At 35.0% G+C, this 22667-nt stretch overlaps 1 long non-coding RNA gene across 4 annotated transcripts in view; it reads left to right on the top strand.

Moving 5' to 3' along the window:
- LINC01709 (long intergenic non-protein coding RNA 1709) overlaps positions 1 to 22667 on the top strand; it is a 147996-nt gene that overhangs the window by 94216 nt on the left and 31113 nt on the right. For 3 of the 4 annotated variants that reach the window (NR_183474.1, NR_183476.1, NR_183473.1), the window contains one exon: positions 3435 to 3568. The exons of the other annotated variant lie outside the window; for it this stretch is intronic. This is a non-coding gene — a long non-coding RNA (long intergenic non-protein coding RNA 1709). The remainder of the gene's footprint in view (positions 1 to 3434; positions 3569 to 22667) is intronic. 4 annotated transcript variants of the gene reach the window in all.

Raw genomic sequence — 22667 nt, forward strand, 5'->3', positions numbered from 1 at the left:
TAGATTATGGATTTGATGCGATGGGGGAGAGAGAAAGAACAGTCAAGGATTATAGTTGAGTACATGTTATTTGGATTAATGGATGCACATTAATTTCTCACACATTAAGGCATGTGGAAGGGGCAGCAAATATCTGGGGTTTGACCTTGTGTTATTTTAAATTTGAGGTATCTGAAAGACAACCAGGTGGAAAGAAATTAATATTTATTAACCACCTACTAAGCACTTGTACAGTGTTGGAAATTACACATGTTGTTTCATTTTATTCTCCCAATAACAACATTAAATTTAATAATTTTATTTTACAGATAAGGTTCCTGCCTTCTGTACAACTTAATTAAGTTGCAAATTCTTGTTGATAGTAGCAAAACTTCCTGATTAATGTAGTGTAGCCCAGAGTTGAACCCAGTTCTAGCTGTGTCTTATTCACACACTTCCAGTGATGAAAGGCTAAAGGGTATGGGGTGGGGTTGGAGAGCAGTCAGTACAAAGACCCTGGAAACAGAGTGCCTGGTTCATATCCCACCTCTGCAAGTTTTAAGTTTTGTGGCCTAAAGTAAGATCTTTAAGCACCCTGTGTCTTATCTTCATCTTTGATTAAATAAAGGACAAAACAATAGTGGTATCTGTTGCATAAGGTTGGTTTTTGAAGTTTAAATGATATGAGTGCATATATGTGTATGTGTATTATGTATATATCATGTGTATATATATATATATATATATACATGAATAAGTGCATATTATATACACACATAGATATCACTCAAAAACAGTTTCTGGTATGTGTTTGCCCTAGGTAAGTGTCGATAATTATTATTACTATTATTAGTGTTATGACATTTGCATTTCATGTGAAATCATCTCTTAGAGAGTTGGAGATATAGGTACAGAGGCCAGGAAGAAAGGTTATGGATCAAATATTTTGATGTAGGTCATAATTAGAGTCAGTGAACTGAAATGATTTTTCTTTTAGTTTTAAAAGTTATTTTGAATATTTAAGAATCTGACTTTCTGGGAGAGAGCTTTCTTTTGTAAAAGGAGACTTATATTTATAATATAACAATAATAATTCAACCAAAGCACATACTTCAAAAATCTTCACCTGTGCTTTTCTTTTAATATGTTAAAATCCCTTTGGTGTGCTTGATAAATTAAATTTATCTAGGTTTTCTAGAAATGCTTTTGGGATTTTAGTAAGGAGGAAAAAAAGCAGTTTTCATATGTAAGTGCAAAGTACAAAGCAATTTTTTCAGAGTAATGTAATAAGAAATCCACAAAAGTCCTGATGGATTCAAACTCCAATTCTTGCACAGTATTTCAAAAGAAAATTATGATAAAGGGAAAGTGTTCCACAGATACATGAAGCTGAGATTTGTTTTCAAAGTAATCTTATTTTGGGTTTGAAACTGGTAACTTTCTCAATTGTTCCAAAAATTCTGAACCTCTGCCCAATCTGTTATTACAGCAGTTTGTAAATGCTTAATTTTGCTAATTTATTCATTGATATGTCAGATATCTTTTGATCTCATATAGGTTCTAAGGACTGTGTTAAGGATTCAGATATATAGGGCTGACTAAGGAACAGTTCTCTATGACAAGGAATTCACAGTCACATGGGAGAGACAGGGAATGGATTATTAAACGCAGGTTATTATGGAACACAAAATAGACAACTAACATTGTTTGGGGGAAGAAAGTTTTTCTGGAGGAAATGACACTGAGCAGAATCTTTAAGGATATGTAGGGTGAACCAGGTAGAAAGGAGGAGAAGGGGGAAAAATGTTCTAGGTAGGGGGAAACAGCAAGAGTAAAGTCGTCCAGGTGAGGTATAGCCTGGTGAAGAAAGAAAACTCCTACTTAGCCCTGCAGTGCTGCTGGAGCATAAAGGGCAAGGCCTGGCTGCATTCTAGGTAAGTGAGTGATGACTTTAATTAGATCAATGGTGAAAAAGATGGAGGCAACAAACATGGTCACATTTTATGACTATTTACTCTTTCAATGAAGAAAACTTTCTCAGCTAGATAGGAAATCCAGAAGACAATAAAAAAAGTTTGGGAAACTTGACCACATGCAAGTGACAGATAAAGATGTAAACTTCTTGATAGGTGAATTACTAAGAAATCAATAAGGCATATCCATATAGAAGACTGTGTTCTTCCTGCAACTGGTAGGATAGAGTCTAGTCCTTTTGAAGATTCAGACTCTGAGAGAAGCTTCTCTGCTTGAGCTGACTCTAACATGTCAACAGCTACCGTATGTCAGCTGGTTAAGATCATAACTTTCAAAACGATCCCCCAAGCCCATTACAGACAGCAGCAAAGAAATAATGGGAGGTATCTATCTCTTAGCTTGTCTGGTCCTCTAAGCTGGGTGATATATATAAGATGATGTGCAGAGTGACTACACATTTAAATATATCAACCGTATAATGTATTAAGTAAAAGACTTGTAAGGTTTTTGAAAAGACTAACTATACATTTAGTCATAGGAACTATTAACTATATCTGTAACCTACAAAGACCCCTTACACACCAATAATAACACTCCTCTCATGGGAGCAGAGTTTTTCTTGTTTAGCAAATATATCTATATTAAAATGACAGAGCAATGTCCTTTTGGGGGAAACTTCTCTTATAAACTGATATCAACTGACTTTTGAAATTTTCAAAATGAAATTTTAGTCTAGAAATTGCAGAGGTGTTTTAACTCTACCTCATCTGACACCTGGGCAAATTGACCCACTCATAGGCATAACTCAGAAGAGAGTAAGTAGGCCCTGTTCTTAAATCTCATACATGGTTTAGCTTGTCCTTTTCTCCAATAGAAGGAATGGGCATCTCCCTCATTCTTCTTCATTCTCTAAATCCTGAGATTAATCTGTTAATCTGAGCTGTCTGTGAAGACGGATCCACAGATAAGGCTACTGCCTTACTGGATTTTCATGGCAGGGAGAATTTGTTGGAACTATATTTACATATATTTACTTGTTTTCCTTTTTATAAGCTATTAGGTGCACTTTAATAAAGGAGATAAATTAGAAAAGGGTATAGAAGAAAACAAAACACCATGTCCTGTTGCACATATTGTATAAATTCTCAATATCTTCTTGTTCCCACAAGGGTATTGAGTCCCTAAATCCTATTAGAGAATACAGATCGAGTTTGTAAACTGAAAGATCTCTGGAAATAAGTTTGGTCATAGTTTATGAGTTTAACTCAGTTATGTATTTCCTAAACTAAAATCAATTTCATTTTTATTCTTAACCACAGAAACAAACATACATATTTGAAGTCTTATTTTAGACATACTTGATTGAAGTGGTCAAATTCTTAAATTTAAAAAAAAAAGGCTTGTATTTGAAAAAGGAAAATAAAACAACAACCACAACAAAAAGACAAGACAGAAATACTAAGCAACTTTATTTCATCCAGGTGCTGCTTGAAAATACAACAAACTGTCTTCAGAATACTTTTATGTGTTGTTGAAAGAAAGCACTGCAGCTAATATAGCTACAAAGGAGAAACAGTTATTCTTAAATGTCATCTATTTGCTGGACCTGAACAGGGTAAGGATTCAGACTTGATTCATTCAATTACTATTCCCAGCAGTGTTCTCACCAGCATATTGCTTTTTTGGCTGCTCAAGAAAGTTGAAATAAGATTGGGTTGTATGCAAGAAAGACCTTAAAGAAACAAAGAGCAGGTTATTGGCTTTAAAAACTAAAGAAAGTACATTTTATATTTTATGTTATTTAAATGAATTGAAATATAATGTATTTTATTTTTTTAACCTCAGAAAATGAAGCTTTTGGAGTGATAAAATAAATATGAAATCCAAAACATGAGTCAAAATGTTGTCTTTCGTGAATTTCAAAACTTAGCACTCTAGTTTTATGATAAATGTATTCTATTTATTGCAGTGTACAAAAATGCATAAGTTAAAAACTAGTAGAATTAGATAAACATATTTTTCATCACTATTATGTCCATTTTCTCTTTACAAATCAAATGTTTGAAAAAGATGCCTTATGCCTCAAAGCTATTTCACTGTATTCAAAATATTTGCTGTTACTAGAAAATGATTTTCTAAAGGAATCCTGTTTATTGATTTTTGTAATAAGCCTAGCCCAGTATAGTTCTTTTTAAGTACATTTTTAAAACTTAAAAATAAAAATTGTATATACTTATAGTTTACAACACAATATTTTGAAATATTCATACATTGTTCAATGGCTAAATCAAGCTCACTAACATATCCATTTCTTCACATACTTATTTTCTTTTGTGGTGAGAACACTAAACATCTTTGAGCAATTTTTATGTATGTAATAAATTGTTATTAACTGTAGTCATCATGCTGTACCACAGATTTTTAAATTTCTTCTATCTAAAATCCTGTATCCTTTGACTATGTCTCCCCACTGACTAGTGTAGTTCTACATATGTAATATGTTCTCATTTTGCACAAATCTGGACAAAATGTAATCTTTATGGCCTTAGACATCTAATCATATATTAAATTTAAAATTAGCACCATAGTAAAAATTTTTTGAACATTATTTGCAAATTTTAAAAAAATTACCTATTAGGAAATTATTGCCTATGGATTCACTAGATACTTTAATGAATAACATGAATAATATTTTTTCATTCATTTAATGAATAATTACTTGACATTTTTCCCTAATGAACTGAAATATTTATTTAAAACAGCTATTTACTTGTAACTTTAATAGTAATTAGAATACTCGTCTTTAAGTAGAGTTCACTGGTAGTACAGTGTTATAGTTGATGGATTTAATAATGTTGAAGTTATTGTACTGGCATCTTATTTTCAAGACTGTACCAACAGAACAGCACATTTTGAAGGAATCTGAGCCATTTTGTAATAGGAAAATACCTCATATGAGTCATTTCCTATTATATTTTGCTGTAGTGAGTTTTAGAATTTCATAATTTTAATGAAGCAGTTTATAGAAGCATGTTTCCTCAGAGGGTTTTTAGTAATACATGAGAATTCTACAGCCTTTGACAAATGAGTTTAAAACATAAATATGAGTAAAATGTGGTATTATTTATAAAGGATTCTTTTCTACCTGGTGATTTTTTTTTTTTGGAATGCCTCTTTTCTAACTCAGCAATACAGAATTTCTTAGTACCTAAAGCATATAGAGTTGAACCTTGTTTTTTTATTCATCTTCTGATGGATTGCAGATAGAATTACATCTATTAAAACAAAACGAGATTTAGTAAAAGCTGCTACAAGTCACAGGTAGACCATGAAATGAATATTAATCTTTCCTCCTCAACAGCCATCTTATCAAAGTATTCCTTAGGTGGGTGGCTAAGGTAGAAAAAGACTGATGTATGGCCTGTGATATTTTCCCCATCGTGCTCTCAGGAAGGACACCTGTTGACCTTCAGGTAGTGCTCATTACCAGCCCTAGTGCATCCCGTTGCTGTCTGATATGCTGCTGCCTTGCCCTGTGGCCCCAAATTAACCAGCCTAGCATAGATTACTTTGATGGGTAATTTCCCGACATTACATTAATTCAGTTCAACAGAGTAGAAGAAGACAGGCTCTATTTATCTGAAACAGTTAATGAGGCTTCATAGTTAGCCGCCATAGCCCTCAAAGTAAGCCAGCGTTAGCAGACTGGACAATTGCTCCAATTCCTTATGAGAACTGACCCAGCATTTGATGTAGTATGATGTCTTCATTCATTCTACAGCTTTCCAGGAACACCAACCGAGCTTACAGAATGACAAAAGTTTATCCATAACCACAGCATATCTATGTTTTTGATTTTATTTATCAATAACCACAGTGACTTTATGTCTGTGATTTTATGTCACAAATGATTGCAATTAATTGATCCTTATTAATATTTTCTAAATGTATTCCATAGAAATAACGTTAAAGCATGTTTCTGTAATCAAATAATTTTGTTTTTTGTGGTGGTTGTTTGAATATTTCATCAGGGATTTGAGAATTTTTATTATGCTCCTATACATTGTGATTCTCCAAGCTTTATTTGGCCATAAATGTTTTTATTTTATTTTAATATTTTAAATTAAGATCATCCTTTTAGTTGAGAATCTTTTCTATAAACAATACTCTTTTCTACTCTTGATGTGGGTAATAGTGTAGTTGTACACATAGCACAATTGCAGATTTCTGAGGCATTGAAAATAAAGAATTCATGATCCCACATATTGACTGAAGTAAAGTTTGTGCATCTGTGGTTTAAGCATTACAAACCACAATGTTAACAATAGATTTTGCATATTAAAGAGCATTCTCGTAATGAACTGTGTGTTACAAAATATTGCCACAAAGCTGTCTTTGTAATTCTCTGTTAGGGATTTGGCTTCATTCTTTCCTTAAGGCCAAACTTCATCTTGAGACTTGGAAAGTGTCCTCATTATGCTAGGATGCAACTGTTCTTATAGTTATACAAAGAGGCAATAAACATTGCCAAGGATCAAGGTAACAATTTTATAGTATTATGCCATCCCAGCAGAGGTCATCTGAAGTTGATAAAATAGCTCCTGTATGATCAGAGACCTTTGACTTAATGAAAATGGTTATAACAGCTCCAGAAAATTGACTCACTCAGTAAAGCTGTCTTTTACATAAAATGACATATTTTTTTTCTGTTTGGAATGATCTTTTCTGCTGAATACTGCCTTAAAGTTTTAAATGAGCTTAGGCCAAAAACCTTACAAAACAAATGAATTTGTAATACTTTTGACTCACTGGCCTATAGTTCACCTTTGCAGAAACTGCTAGTGAAGCACATTTGCTGCATCTTCAACAAGGACAGGGCTGACTCTGCCAAATTGCAAATGAACGTTCTTCTATGCCACTTCCTGGAGTCCTTGCCTTCTCTTGTCCTGTCTTACTTGGAGCGTCCTCTTAAAACCTCTGCTAATGACAGCATTTCAGGCAATGTAATAAAGCGGAGATGGAGATACTTGTGAGATGAAGGCCTGCCTAGAGTTCCAAATAGCACACTGCAGAAGCCAACACTGATTCAATCTGTCATCAGGGTTACCTGAACCGGGAGGCTGGCTAGCTCACTTTATTTTATTATTTTTTTAATTATAAATAAACTTTATTGGTATAGTAGTTTGGAACATGATCTGTGTAGATTATTGACCTCCATCTTGGTAAAATAGGGATAGTAATAGTACCTCATGAGTTTGCAAGAGTAAAACGAGTTTAAAAACAGATAATGCTGTCCGGGCATGGTGGCTCACGCCTGTAATCCCAACACTTTGGGAGGCCGAGGAAGGTGGATCATGAGGTCAGGAGTTCGAGACCAGCCCGATCCACACGCTGAAACCCCATCTCTACTAAAAATACAAAAATTAGCTGGGTGTGGTGGCACATGCCTGTAATCCCAGCTACTCAGGAGGCTGAGGCAGGAGAATCACTTGAACCTAGAAGGTGGAGGTTGCAGTGAGCCAAGATCACGCAACTACACTCCAGCCTGGGTGACAGAGCAAGACTCCATCTCAAAAAAAAAAAAAAAAAAAAAAGATAATGCTTAGAATAATATCTAGCACATAGAAAGTGCTCAATAAATATTCATTATTGGTGTTATCATTGTTTCTACTTCTCACATCCCAGAGCTTTTTACACTTACCTCCCAAGTCATCCACCATTTGGTTCTGTACAATACTGAAGCTCTTCCATTTACAAACTTCCAATTAACATAATTTCAGAGACAGACAAAGCAATCCTCCAGGAAAAAAGAATGCAGAAGCTGCATACACTATAGATGGTGACAGTGGCCAATGACAGACTGTCATTTTGAACTAGTGACAGATTAACTTAGCAACAGTCTTTCTGAGACTAACCTATCCCAGGAAAGATTAGCTTTCTCTGTTTTCTTTTTTCTTTTCTTTTTTTTTTTCACTAGCCAGCACTAGATTTATTTTTAGGAGGCTAGCTCACTTTAAATAGAAGGGCAGACTATTCTCTGCAAGCACCTTTTTAGCAGCAGCCTTAATATTCAAATTACTCTTGTGTTAATGATAGCTAATTCACCTTGGTAGAGTAAAGCACTAATGAAACTGTCTAAGGTGATGCAAATGTATTCTGTGAGTCATGTCAGTTGGTCGGCCAGGTGAAACAAAGGTGAACTGTGAAAGAAGATAAGGAGAACCACAAAATGCAAAGGTAATTTTTTGTCAGAAAACGGACCAACAGAAAAAGTGTTATACTTCCCAATAATGCCCCTTTCATCCCTGTGGTACTCATTTATTCCACTTGTACTTACAGAGGCTCTGGGTCTCCCTGCCCTGTGTATCTCTGCTCCGTATGAGTTTCAGTGGTGTGACCTTAGCACTTCAGAATGTTAAGGTGACCTATAGTACCAGTTTGCCCAGGTTGAGGGGTTTCCTGGGACACAGAAATTTTAGTTCTAAAACCAGGGCAGTCCGAGGCAAGCCAGGATGGCTTGTCACCTTCGTTAACAAGCAGATAAGTGCTTTTCAGGCCACCTTCTCTCTCCCTCCAACTTAGATCTGCAGTAGTTCACAGGAATGAAAAAAGCATGGTTTTAAAATGAAAAGGTCATCGCTTAACTTATTTGTGGCTAGGCAAGATAGTGAACATTTTTCACCCCATGTTTTTACATTTATAAAATGAAGATAATAAAGTTTATCTCACACGATTGCAGGAATATGGAAAAACTTCTTACAAAGAGCACTAAGTCAATGTCAGCCTCCTCTAATTTTCACAGGTGTTTTGGTCCTTGAAGACTGTAAGCCAATACTTTTTACAAAACACAGGTATTCTAAATTTTTGCTGTAAAACTGACCTCCTCAACACTTACATGGAGCCTTGTATTTAAGAACTTTATTTTACAGTCCTTGAATATATCTGAGTATTCCAGATGACTCACATGAATATTCAAGGCCATTGAGGTGTTATGTTACATTAGGTGAATATCTTCTCTAATAAAGTTGTCTACACAACGTCAGGTAACTTTGATTTGGTCAGCTCAGTAGGAAAAACTCAACTACTGCTTAAACTTATGTGTGGTTCCTGATTTAACTTGTAATTTTGGTCAAAGTGGTAGATCTGGTAACTTTAGGCTGACTCCTCATGAACTATAAAGCAGCTCTGAGTTGGATATGGCACATTTCAGCAGAGGCATGTCATTTTACCTCACTTCATCCTTCCCTGCTTTCTGGGACTGGTCTAGACTCACTAAGTCTCAAAATATAGCACTTTCTGGTATTGAAAAAAACAAAAATATATCTGCTTTGTGCTTTTAAATATTTGGTCATATATTTACAGCTCAGAAACTTAGGCATTTTTCTCCCATACTTTGTTGATCATGGACTTCAAGGCAACTTTTGCACATAATTGAAAATCTTAAGCTAAGGAGAGAAGGTAGAGTGTGAGCTTATTTCACTAAAAAGTAGTGGATTTGTCATTTTTTAAACATGTCTCTGTTTCTATTCTATTCAATATTTACTATTATTAACTCAACATAAATGTTACTATTCTCTAAGGTCAGAGATAGGAAAATCTGTGTATTAAGTTGATGCCATTACTCTTAATGGCATAAGCCACAATTACTTTTGCACTAACCTAGTAATATGGAGGGCCATTTGAGGACCACTCACAAACTCTATTGACTCAATAGACATATGTTCTGATCATAAAACTTTAAAAAACACTATGCTCATCACTGCTTCTATACCTTTGCACATGTTGTTCTCCCTTACTAATATGCCCACATTACACCCTCTTAATTATAGTGTGGGGTATAATGGGACACTTATACTCATTAGTTAATACCTAGTTCAAATGAACTTCAATGTATAGCTTTTTGGAAAAATTTATGCTGTAGCTTCCTGTTCACATACCTATCTCCTTAATAAACTGATCTCTATAGCTCACTTAATTCTTCTATCCCCAGCTCCTAGTGTAAGTTCTGGCAGTGCATATTAAAATAAAATAAAATTTTGTTGAAAGAATTAACAAATAGATGAAAGATGAGTTTTTAGGTTAAGTTTGGCCATTAACTTACTGTGTACACTGGAGTAAGTCATTAGCCTGTCTTTGGGACTCAGAAACTGATACCCCCAAATGAAGGCCTTCAAAGCAGCCTCAGAAGCAAGAGTTTTTCTGTGACCTTCTCCTGCCCTCCTGTCTCCCCATCCCATTCTCCCCTGACGTAAGCCTAGAAATGAGAATCCCTCTTCACCGAGGTGGGTCGTAGAAAGCAGAACCCCTTTTCCCCAACGTCAGCCACAAAAACCTAAAAATATTACTCTAACTTTCCCTCTGTCCTATCTGTGTAAAAGCTGGCTACAAAGAAATTATCTGACCTAACTTTCTTGATTATAGATCATAAGACCCTCACTCTGGAGAGGGTCCTGCCTCATACCCAGAAGGAAGGAATACCTGCTCTGAAAAGCCAAGAAGAATCTAGACAGACAGGCCTTACTGGGTTTCCTTACTCAGCCTATTAGCATTAGAACATGCTCTTTTTGTCCAATCATCTTTCTACATGGCAGACCGTACTTTGCTGAACCTAAGTATAAAAATGGACAATTTCCCCTGTATCTTTGGGTCTTCATTTGGTAGGTTCCCATGTATACACGTTAAATACATTTGTATGCCTTTTCTCTACTTAATCTGCCTTTTTTTGAGTCAATTTGTCAACTAACCTTGAGAGAGCAAATCCATTGGCCCCTTCACCATCAAAGTTTCTTTACCTATAAAATAAAAGTACTAGATTTTATGGTATATCACATCATTGTACCCAGTCAATAATGCCCCTTCCCTGTCCCTCAAAGTGGACTATACAGCTCAGCTCAGTGCCAGGCAACTCCCAGTTCTTCCTGTAGGTAAAGTATAATTCCCGCCCATGATCAGAATGCCAAGGGAAGTAACAGTGTTTCAGTTTTGAGGAGAAAGTGTTTCAGTTAAGAGCCTGAATTAGAGTTGTGGCTGATGTGTAGCCTACATATATTATGAATGAGACTTAAACAACTGTTGTAAACTATTTGAATAATTCACTCCTTAAGTTTTCTTTCCTGGTCTGTTTTTCCATAATATTACTAGCATTTAATAAAACTCTCTCTACTACTAATTATTATCACTTGGGATTTTTTTTTTGGAGATGGAGTCTCACTCTGTCGCCCAGGCTGGAGTGCAATGGCACAATCTCAGCTCACTGCAAGCTCCACTTCCCGGGTTCACACCATTCTCCTGCCTCAGCCTCCCGAGTAGCTGGGACTACAGACGCCTGCCACCATGCTCGGCTAATTTTTTGTATTTTTTAGTACAGACCGTGTTTTACCGTGTTAGCCAGGATGGTCTCGATCTCCTGACCTCGTGATCCACCTGCCTCGGCCTCCCAAAGTGCTGGGATTACAGGCGTGAGCCACCACGCCTGGCCTCACTTGGGTATTTTAAATATATTTAGAAAAGATGAGCTTAAGAAGTGTGTGAGGCAACCTTAAATTCATGAAATACATCTTCCGACTAGTTTGTCACTGATCTTTTAGGTTAGCTTGAGCCATCTTCTAACAAGCACTTGAAAACCAACAGAAGTTCATCATAGTTGTTCCAGCACAAGTTCTGGCACCCAACTGTTATGGGAGGCAAAGTCTAAGTTGGTCCCCCAATAATCCCTACATGCTAGTAATCAAGGCCTTTCATTGAGTAACTTACTTATAAGTAATACAGTACCTCAGTGTTGAGGGGATATTGCTTCTATCATTAGATCGCAAAAGATTCTGACTTTTGTGTTGGTAGCAGACTCTCTCCTTTGCTGGCTTTGATGAAGCAAGCTGAAATGTTGAGAGTTACATATGGCAAAGAACTGAGGTTGGTCTCTGTCCAGTAACCAAAAAAAGACTGAGGCTTTCAGTCCAAAAACCTGTGAAAAATGGAATCTTGCCAACAATCACACAATCTTAGAAACAGATCCTTACCATTCTGGCTTACAAATGAGATGACAGCCCTGGGTGACACCTTGATAAGAGGCATGTGAGAGAGAGACTCTGAAGAAGAGGACCCAATGAAGCTGTGCAGGGACTCTTTACCATAGAAGCTATGAGATAATAAATGTGTGTCACTCTGATCCTCTAAGTTTACAGTAATGTTTTACACAGGAATAGATAACTAATATAACTGTGATTTATTAATTCAACCATCTGTTCATTCTACAAATGTTGATGAAGTATTTATTATGTACTAGAACAATGTTGGCACTGGGGATATAACAATGAACAACAAGCAGACATGGCTGTTGTCTTTTTGGAGCTTATTGTTTAGATGGGAAGACATACGGTCAAATTTGCAATTTTAATGAAGTGTGGTACAAGTACAGAATAGGGATCATGAGACACTGGGAGTCTAAATGGCAGAAAAGCCTGACTAGTAACGTTGGTGTTGGGAGGGTTTATTTTAAAAAGTGTTATTTTTGAGTTCTGAAGAATAAGACATTTATTACATGAAAAATGAAGAGAATGCTCCAGGGAGAGAGAACTTATGTACGATGACCTAGAGATGAGAGAGAGTTTGAGAAAAGGGTAGAATTTCTCTATTTTGAATCTGAGACAGAGAAGCCTATTTAGATGTGTTGAGATAACATGAAGGCCTGGTAAATCATTTTCAGATTTAAGACTTCATGCTGAAGAAAATAAGCTACAATTACTGGTACGGAAACAGACACACAGACCAATGGAACAGAATAGAGGATCCAGAAATAAAGCAGCACACCTTCAATCATCTTATCTTTGTCAAAACCATTAGAAAAAAACAAAAAACAAACAAACAAAAAAACAAGTGATGGGGAAAGGACTCCCTACTCAATAAACGATGCTGAGACAACTGGCTAGTCATATAGTCATATGCGGAAGAATGAATTTGGACCCTACTTTTCACCACATACAAAAATTAACTCAAGATGGATTAAAGATTTAAATGAAAGACTTCAAACATTAAAAATCCTAGAAGAGAACCTAGAAAATGACCTCAACATCAGCTTTGGCAAACAATTTATGGCTAAGTCCTCAAAAGCAATTACAATAGAAACAAAAATTGAGAAGTGTAACCTAATTAAATGAAAGAACTTCAGCACAGCAAAAGAAAGTATCAACAGAGTGAACAGACAATCTACAGAATGGGAGAAAATATTCACAAACTATGCATCCAAAAAGTGTCTAATATCCACAATGTATAAGGAACGTAAACAACTCAAAAAGCCAAAAAAGAAAATACAAAAAAAAAAAAACCCTATTAAAAAGTGAGCAGAGGACATGAAGAGATACTTCTCAAAAGAAGACATGCAAGTGACCAATAAACATATGAAAAAAAATGATCCACCTTACTAATCACAGAAATGCAAATCAAAACCACAATAAGATAATGTCTGATACCAGTCAGAGTGGCTGTTATTAAAAAGTCAAAAAATAGCAGATGCTGATGAGGCTGCAGAGAAAAAAAGAATATTTATACACTGTTGGTGGGGATGTAAATTAGTTCAGCCACTGTGGAGAGAGGTATGGAGGTTTCTCAAACAACTTAAAACAGAGTCACCATTCAACCCAGCAATTCTATTATTGTATATATACCCAAAGAAAAATAAATTATTCTTCAAAAAAGACACATGCACTTGTATGTTCATTGCAGCACTATTCACAACAGCAAAGACAAGGAATCACCCTAGATGTCCATCAACAGTGGACTGGATAAAGAAAATGCTGTACATGTATACCACAGAATACTATGCAGCCATAAAAAAGAAAGAAATCATGTCCTTTACAGTAGTGTGAATGCAGCTGGAAGCCATTATCCTAAGCAAATTAATGCAGGAACAGAAAACCAAATACTGCATGTAGTCACTAATAAGTGAGAGCTGAACATTGGGTAGTCATGGACTTTAAGATGACAACAATGACACAGGGGTCTACTAGAGGTGGGAGGGAAGGAGGGACAAGCACCGAAGAACTACCTATTGAATACTATGCTCACTATCTGAGTGATGAGATCATTCATACCTCAAACCCCAGCATCACACAATTAACCCATGTAACAAACCTACACATGAATCTAAAATAGAATCTCAACCCACTGAATCTAAAATAGAAGTTGACATTAGAAAAAAAAATTAAAAAAATAAACTACCACTGATAACTTTTAACAGATGAAGAACATGGTCACATTTTTGTCTTTGGAAAGAACATTCTGCTTGCATTGTGGAGAATGGTTTTTCTATTGGTTACATTCAGCTGAAGCAGAGCTATGGTGACTTTAATATTAGTGATTTACTGTAGGAAATGAGCCTTATAAAATGTAGGAGAATGAGGGATGCAAATGTCTGGAAAAAGAGCATGAAGATCTAAAAGGCCAAGCACATCCAGCCTCTGGAGAAAACCTGAAGGAGTTGTTTGTGGAGAGGTCTCTGACAAGCGGTTGCCTCTGTGTGGCTACTTCCTCTGGAATCCACAGATATGAATCTGATGGTGAGCCAGGGGTTGCTGTTGGCAGACCAGAAGCTGGGAAGATAAGCTGCGCATGCTTCTACTATGCTCTACATTTTCTTTTTTCTGTAGTCTCATCACCTTCCAACTGACTGTAAAATTCTTTCCTTTGTTATATTTATTGTGTCTCCTAATTAGAAATATAAACTCCATGAGTGTGGGAATATCTGAACATTATTTTTATTCCTATCCATTAATATTTATTTCTATTACTAAGTAGCTTAGATCTATCCCGAAACAATGCCTGGTTCATCAGATACATATAAAAAATAGAAAATTTATGTAATTTTGGTTATAAAGGTATATATATTGGCAGGTGTTTTGTGATAATTCTTCAAAGTTATTAATTGGCTCTATTTTGCTTATGTTAAGATAATAAACAGTTTATCTCAAATATAATTACAAATGTTTTAATGTTTCTACACCAGGATTGAGGCGTTTTATTTAATTCTTACTTTACTCCTTACTACAGAGATGGAAATCAACTTAAATGAATTCTAATGATGATGATTGAATAAATTAACATTGGAGGAAATTGTGTTCATAAATGCATAGTCACATGGGGACATAGATCAGTTGTCTTTTTCTGTAATATTTATCTTCAGTTCATATCTGATCAATTTATTTTGATGATTCACTTTCCAAATTATGGAGCTTTCCCTGTGGTTCTGCATTTTTATATTATTGGACTGTTCTAAAAGTGGCAATTTTTCTAATTTCTAATCCTTGTAAAGTCCTTATGCTTGTTCTTCACATTGGGACTTAGATTAGGAAGCAGAAGATTTCTGTTTCCATTAGAGATGATGTCTTGTTAGATAGAATTGATTTCAGTAACTTGTTCTCCTGAGATAAAGTCACTTTCAAGTTTCTTGAATAACTTGCCATCAAATTTCTCATGATTAGTACTCAACAATTTCTCAGCTTAAAAGTCTTCTTGTATATTAATGTTGCAAAACTCTGCCTGGTTTTGATTCATAGATTCAGGTGTGACAGTTCATCCCTTGCCCCCTGGGAAACCCAGTGAAAAGGTCTTTTTGAATATGAGCTTGTTTTCATATATATACAGTGACTTCCTGGGGCTGTTTGTGAAAGTTTGCTGGAAATGAATGCAGGCATCTTGGGGTGAGGGTGGGGTATTGTACAGATTGTGGATTCTACTTCTACTTTGTATCTTTCTTTTTGTTTGCTGTATCTTCTTTACTTCTACCTCTATCCGACTTCATTTAATCCTGGACCACAAATTAGAACACTAGAGGGACATTATAGAAAGTGGCTTTAAAATGTGACAGGGTTTGGATTAAATTATAGCTGTGCTAGCCACGCCATTTACAAACTACATGGCCTTAGGCATTTAACTTAGTTTTGTCAACCCCTGATTTTCTCATCTGTAATATAGATAATTTCTTTATCTCAAAGTTGTATGAGAATTTAAATTGTGTGTGTGTGTGTGTGTGTGTGTGTGTGTGTGTGTCTGCAGTTTCTGGCACCCTATAGGTGCTCAAAAATGTTATTTACTGGTATTAAAATTGAATTAAAAACTTATATGTACATTCAACTAGGTTTTTTAGTAAATGTGGAAAACCAATCCACAAAGGATGGAAATTTAAAATGTAGGTTACATGATCTTAAATAATCAAGAATCACTTTTCTAAATTAATTCGCTTTAGTTTTTTCTTTTTCTTCTCTTCCTTTATGCTATTTTTTTCCAGCTTTTTTAAGTATAATTGACAAATAAAAGCAGTTTATATTCAAGTTGTACAGTGTGATGATTTGATATACCTACACATTGTGAAATTATTACCTCAATCAAATTAATGAACACATCCATCACCACACCAAGTTACCACTGCGTGTGTGTGTGTGCATGTGCATGTGTGTGTGTGGTGAAGACACTATAGCTCTTTCTAGGCACATTTCAAGTAAACATTACAGCATTACTAACTAGAGTCACCATGCTGTTCATTTGTCCCGTGACTGATTCATCGTATGTGTGCTTTTTGAACAGCATCTCCACATTCCTCGCCACTCCCCTCCCAAGCCCCCATCAAACACCATCCTACTTTCTGCTTCCATTAGTCCCACTTTTTTAGATTCCATGTATAAGTGAGATCATACAGTATCTGTCTTCCTGTGCCTGGCTTATTTCACTTAGCATGTGTTCTCTAGGTTTACCTATGTTGTCACAAACAGCAGAATTTTCTTTTTTAAGGCTGAATAGATTTCAATTATGTATCTGTACCACATTTTCTTTATCTATTCATTGACGATGGAAATTTAGGTTGATTCCATAGCTTGGCTATTGTGAACACTGCTGCAATGAAAATGAGAGTGCAGATAACTTTTGGACATAATGAGTTCATGTCCTTTGGATATATACCCTGAAGTAGAATTGCTGGTTCAGAAGGCAGTTCTATTTTTAATTTCTGAGGAACCTCCATACTGTTTTCCATAATGACTGTATCAGTTTACATTCCCATCAACAGTATAAAAAGTTTCCCTTTTCTCTACTCACTGACCTTTATCCTTACCAACATTAAAACCATAATATTTCATTATAGTTTTGATTTGCCTTTCTCTAATTAGTGATATTGGGCATTTTTTCATATACTTTTTGGCCTTTTGTATGTTTTATTTGAAAAATGTCTATTTAGGTTCTTTGCCCATTTCTTAAACTGGGTTATTCATTTTTCTGCTATTGAGTTGCATGAGTTTCTTATATATTCAGGATATTAATTTCTTATTAGATATATGTTTAACAAATACGTTATTTCATTCTGTGGGTTGCCTTTTCTTTTTCTTTTTTCTTTTTTTAATGAAGTCTTGCTCTGTTGCCCAGGCTGGAGTGCAGTGGTGCGATCTCGGCTCACTGCAACCTCCACATTTCAGATTCAAGTGATTCTCCTGTCTCAGCCTTCTAAGTAGCTGGGATTATAGGTGCATGCCGCCATGCCAGGCTAATTTTTTTTGTATTTTAGTTGAGACAGGGTTTCACCATGTTGCCCACGCTGGTCTCAAACTCCTGAGCTCAGGCAATCCACCTGCCTTGGCCTCCCAAAGTGCTAGGATTACACACGTGAGCCACTGCACCTGGCCTTCCTTTTCATTTTGATTGTTTCCATTGCTGTGTAGAAGCTTTTGTTTGATGTAGTTTCATTTGTTTATTTTTGCTTTTTTTGTCTATGTTTTTGGTATAAAAACCATTGCCAAAGCCAATGTTAGACAGTATTTTCCCTGTGTTCTTCTAGGAATTCTATGGTTTTAGGTCTTCAATGTGAGTCTAATCCACTTTGAGTTATTTTTTGAATATTTTGGATTAGCTCAAGTTTATTCTTTTGCATGTGGATATCCACTTTCCCAACCCCATTTATTGAAGAGATAATTTCTCCATGTGTACTGTGTGCTTTTGTCAAAGGTTAATTGACCATATATATGTGGTTTTATTTCTGGGCTCTCTATTCTGTTCCATTGGTCTATGTGTCTCTTTATATGCCAGTACTATACTGTTTTGATAACCATCAATTTGCAATACACTTTGAAATCAGGAAGTATGATACCTCCAGCTTTTTCCTTTTTATTCAAGATTGCTTTGGCTACTCAGGGTGTTTTGTGGTTCCATACCAATTTTGGGATGTGTCCTCTATGTCCATGAAAAATTTCATTGGAATTTTGATAGAGATTACATTGAATCTGTAGATCACTTTTGGCAGCATGGACATTTTAACAATATTAATTCTTCCAATCCATGAACATGGGATATATTTCCATTTATTGGTGTCTTCCTCAATTTCTTTCATCAATGCCTTATAGTTTTTGATGTATAAATATTCCACCTGCTTGGTTAAATTTATTCCTATGTATGTATGTATGCATGTATGTATGTATTTGTTTATTTATTTATTTATTTTGAGATGGAGTCTCACTCTGTCACTCAGGCTGGAGTGCAGTGGTGCAATCTTGGCTTACTTCATCCTCCACCTCCCAGGTTCAAGCGATTCTCCTGCTTCAGCCTCCTGAGTAGCTGGGACTACAGGCATGTGCCACCATGCCCAGCTAATTTTTGTATTTTTAGCAGAGATGGGGTTTCACCATATTGCTCAGGCTGGTCTTGAACTCCTGACCTCATGATCTGCTCACCTCGGCCTCCCAAAGTGCTGGGATTACAGGTGTGAGCCACCATGCCCAGCTGTATTTTATACCCTCTAATAATATTGGAAATGGGTTTGTTTTCTTAATTTATTTTTCAGATTTTTTTATTAGTGTATAGAATTTTTTGCATGCTGAATTCAATTTCTGCAACTTTGCTGAATTCACATATTACTTTTTATTTTTTAATAAAATTTTTAGTGTTTTCTATATATAATATTATGCCTCTTGCAGACAAAAACAATCTAATTTATTTCCTTTTGACTTAGATGCTTTTTAGTTTTTTTTTTCTTGCCTAATTGCTCTGGCTAGAACTTCCAGTTATATGTTGAATAAAAATGATAAGAGTAGGCATTTTTGTCTTGTTCCTAATCTTAGCGGAAAAGTTTTAAGCTTTTCATTTTTAAGTATGATGTTAGATGTGAGCTTGTCATATAGGGCCTTTACTACGTTAAGATATATTATTTCTATTTTAACTTTGTTGAGAGTTTTTATTGTAAAAGGATGTTGAGTTTTGTCAAATACCTTTTCTGCATCTATTGAGATCATTGTGTACTTTTTTTTCTTCATTCTGTTATTGTGGTGATAATATCTATCGATTTACATATGTGGAGCCATCCTTATACATCAGAAATAAATCCCATTTGATCACAGTGCTTATTCCTTTTACTGTATTAATATTTTAAAGGAAGTATCTCTTGTTGGAGTCTATATACTTAAGTTAGTCCAAACCTCAACTCGTTTTATTTTTAAAAATCTATTGTGGGGTGATCTAAACTATTCTCAATTTTTCTGTTAAAAAATATAGTTTCCCTCTTCTCACCTGGCAATCACTTAGTTACTAAGGATTTAATCATTATCTGAAATGTGCTTAGAATTAATTAGCCAGAAAATGCTGCCACTGACTTCCAATCAGATAAACAACTTTATATGTTGGTTAGCACTGAACTAAGGAAGGACTAGGAGGACAGATTAACTCAAAGGTCTAATGGAGCCTACAATACACATTTGTTGTTAATGCACATTCATTTTTAAAAACATACCTAGTATAATTCTCATATTCTCTAAATACTTGCTTGTTGGTTGCTTTCACAGCCAAAGTTTCCAGAAGTGCTTCCTCTGTAGTTCAGTTGAATTTTAAGTAAATTCAAAATTTGTAAATTTAAAATGGTATGGTGTAAGACACATTACGAACATACTTATGTGCACAAAATTTGAAGTCATTCAAATCACTGTAAATGAAATGTTAATCCAGACTCATACTAATACAAAGTTAGTGAGTAGAGTGAGATGTAAGTTCTTATGCTATCATCATGTGGCAGTACTACTTTTTCTATGTACATAAATATTCACCTTATTTTGTCAGAATCTAGAAAGTTTTATTCTCATAATGATCAACCACTCTTTCCTCATTGTCTTTGTGTGTTCACCATCTCTCATCACCTTCTCTCCATATCATGTCACTGAAACAGCTCTTTCTATGACTTCTATATCATTAAAGCTAATGAACATTTTGCATTGTTAAACTTCCTCTCCTTGGAACAGCGTCTTTCCTGGTCATTGTGTACTTTCTTTCTTTCTTTCTTTCTTTTTTAACTTTCCTTATTTTAAGTTCAGGGGTACATGTGCAGGTTTGTTACATAGGTAAACGTGTGTCATGGGGGTTTGTTGTGCAGATTATTTTATCACCCATGTACGAAGCCTAGGACCTATTAGTTATTTTCCATTTCCCTAGCTATATTAGTCTCCTTTACAAGCTCATTCTTCTATAGCCTCTTCTCTTTCCACATTAAATCTTGCCTTGGGCAATCTCATTCATGTGTAGACTTTAGTTATTATAGGTAGGAAGAATTACAAATATGTTCCTCTATTTCTCAGCTGATATGAAGTTTTGTCATCTTCACTCATGATTTTCTCACTTCTTTTCTATTCAGCCTCAGCATACTTGTCCAAGTTACCATGAAGTCTTAACGTGGATCATGTAGTAGTTTTCAGATTGGTTTTCCTATATTTATTCTTGCCTTTTTTCCAATTCAAAACACAGGAGCCACAGCGATGTTTTTGAAATGTAAATCTCATTTCTTCCCATCCATGCCCCATTAAGTAACTTTTTTGGCTTTTCATGATTGTCAGAATGAACAAAAATACTTATTTTCTCTACAACCTTGTATGGTATGTCATGTAAATACCTCTCCAGGCCACTTCGGTATCACACTTTCACCCATTACTTTTGGAACACCTACACTAGCCTTTTAAAATATATATTTTTTGTAGGTTTTCTTCTTCCATAGGCTATTCTTTCCGTCTTCTATACTTGTCCTGCCTTAACACAATGTAGCCTAGCTAACTTACTTTCTTCAACTTCCAACCCAATGTTCACTTATTCAAGAAGTAGTCCCCGTTATCTTAAACCAGATCAGTTGTCCTTACTGAAAATTCTTATAGAACCATGTACATCTCTCTTATAATGTTAATGGCCATTGTAAATTAACATGTATGCAATTTTTAAGTCCTCAACAAATGCTTTTGCTCTGTGAGTTGGCAAGGTTAACCTTGTTTGCTGTTCTTGCTGTTGTTCACCATTTAACTTTAGCACCTAGCACACAGTATCTCGAATAAAATAGCAAAAAATACTTTTTGCATGAGTGCCCGAATGCATTAAGCAAACACATTTAGATTCTACTTCTCAATTTCTAGAATAGTAAGTATAAACTCCAAATCTCCCTTTATGTTCAAAGCAAATGAAATAATAGAAGTGTTGGAAGAAAGTGTTAAAAAGAAAATGATGACTGGGCTAGATGTCAAGTGATAGAAGTTTAGATGTTGAATCTTCAATTTCATACTTGTGCCCCTTTAAGCAAGACTCTGCCTCAATGTCATTTTTAAGATAGAAATAATAATAATAGTAATAACTAGGCTAAACTTTATGATGAATTTGCTATATGCATTAGATAGCTGGCTAAAGCATGTAAAGACATGTCAGTTCATCCTTAGAATTCCTATGAAATACATACTAATATAAAAATTAAAACAATAACATCTAATAATTATATAGTACCATATGCCCAGCACACTTTCAAGCCTTTTACATTCATTATTTCATTTACTCTTATGTAACAATGTTGTCAGGAGGATTAGACAAAATATTCATGAGAAACATTGTGTATAGTGCACATCACAATATACAGGTGTTAATTATTATATCTATACAATCTAATGAAAAGTATACTTCTGTGTAAAATGGGGATTAGTTATGCTATTTTATGGCCAGTACTATGCTTCTTTACTTTCTGCCAGGACTATTTTTCTTTCATGACTCCTTTTGCAGTAATCCATTTTTAGTCAGTTTTCACCTGTGAGAATTTTGTCATATTTGACATTGCATATTTGGTATTTACAATTCTCTAACACTGCATGGCCAGAGGAAAATACTGTTTTGCATTCTTATAGTGTGAGATAACTGCAGAGAGTTGATAAATTATTTTTATATTCTTGAGGCCTATACAATCATATTTTAAATATGTTTACAGGCTTAAAAATCAGAACTATTACATATGATAAACAGGTTTTTCAATGTATTTTTGAGATATTTTCTTAAATTAAAATAATTATTTATTTCACAAAACTGAGATAAATGAGACAAAATATCTAAGGGCATTTCTAACAATTGCAAAAAATAATATAAATACTGGCATCTAATCTTCGAGTATATAGCATATTACATTTAAGTTGAATATACTTTCCTATTATGAACTAAATAAAATTCTGTATAAAATCTTATGGGGAATAAGAATAACGGATAAAAAGTATTCAAATAATGGATAAATTTACTTGAATTTACTTCATCCAAGTAAAATTATTTATTGCATGAAGCCTGCTTTTCTATTTTTTTAACGTTAGAGGTGTACAGATCTTTCTTCAAAACACAGGTTCTTTATTTACTGTACGTGTGTTGGTCAGTCATAGCCCTTGAGATGTTAACTTCAGGCATTTCTGAATCTT

Source organism: Homo sapiens, chromosome 1 (genome assembly GCF_000001405.40).
Source record: "Homo sapiens chromosome 1, GRCh38.p14 Primary Assembly".
NCBI classification, from domain to species: Eukaryota; Metazoa; Chordata; class Mammalia; order Primates; family Hominidae; genus Homo; species Homo sapiens.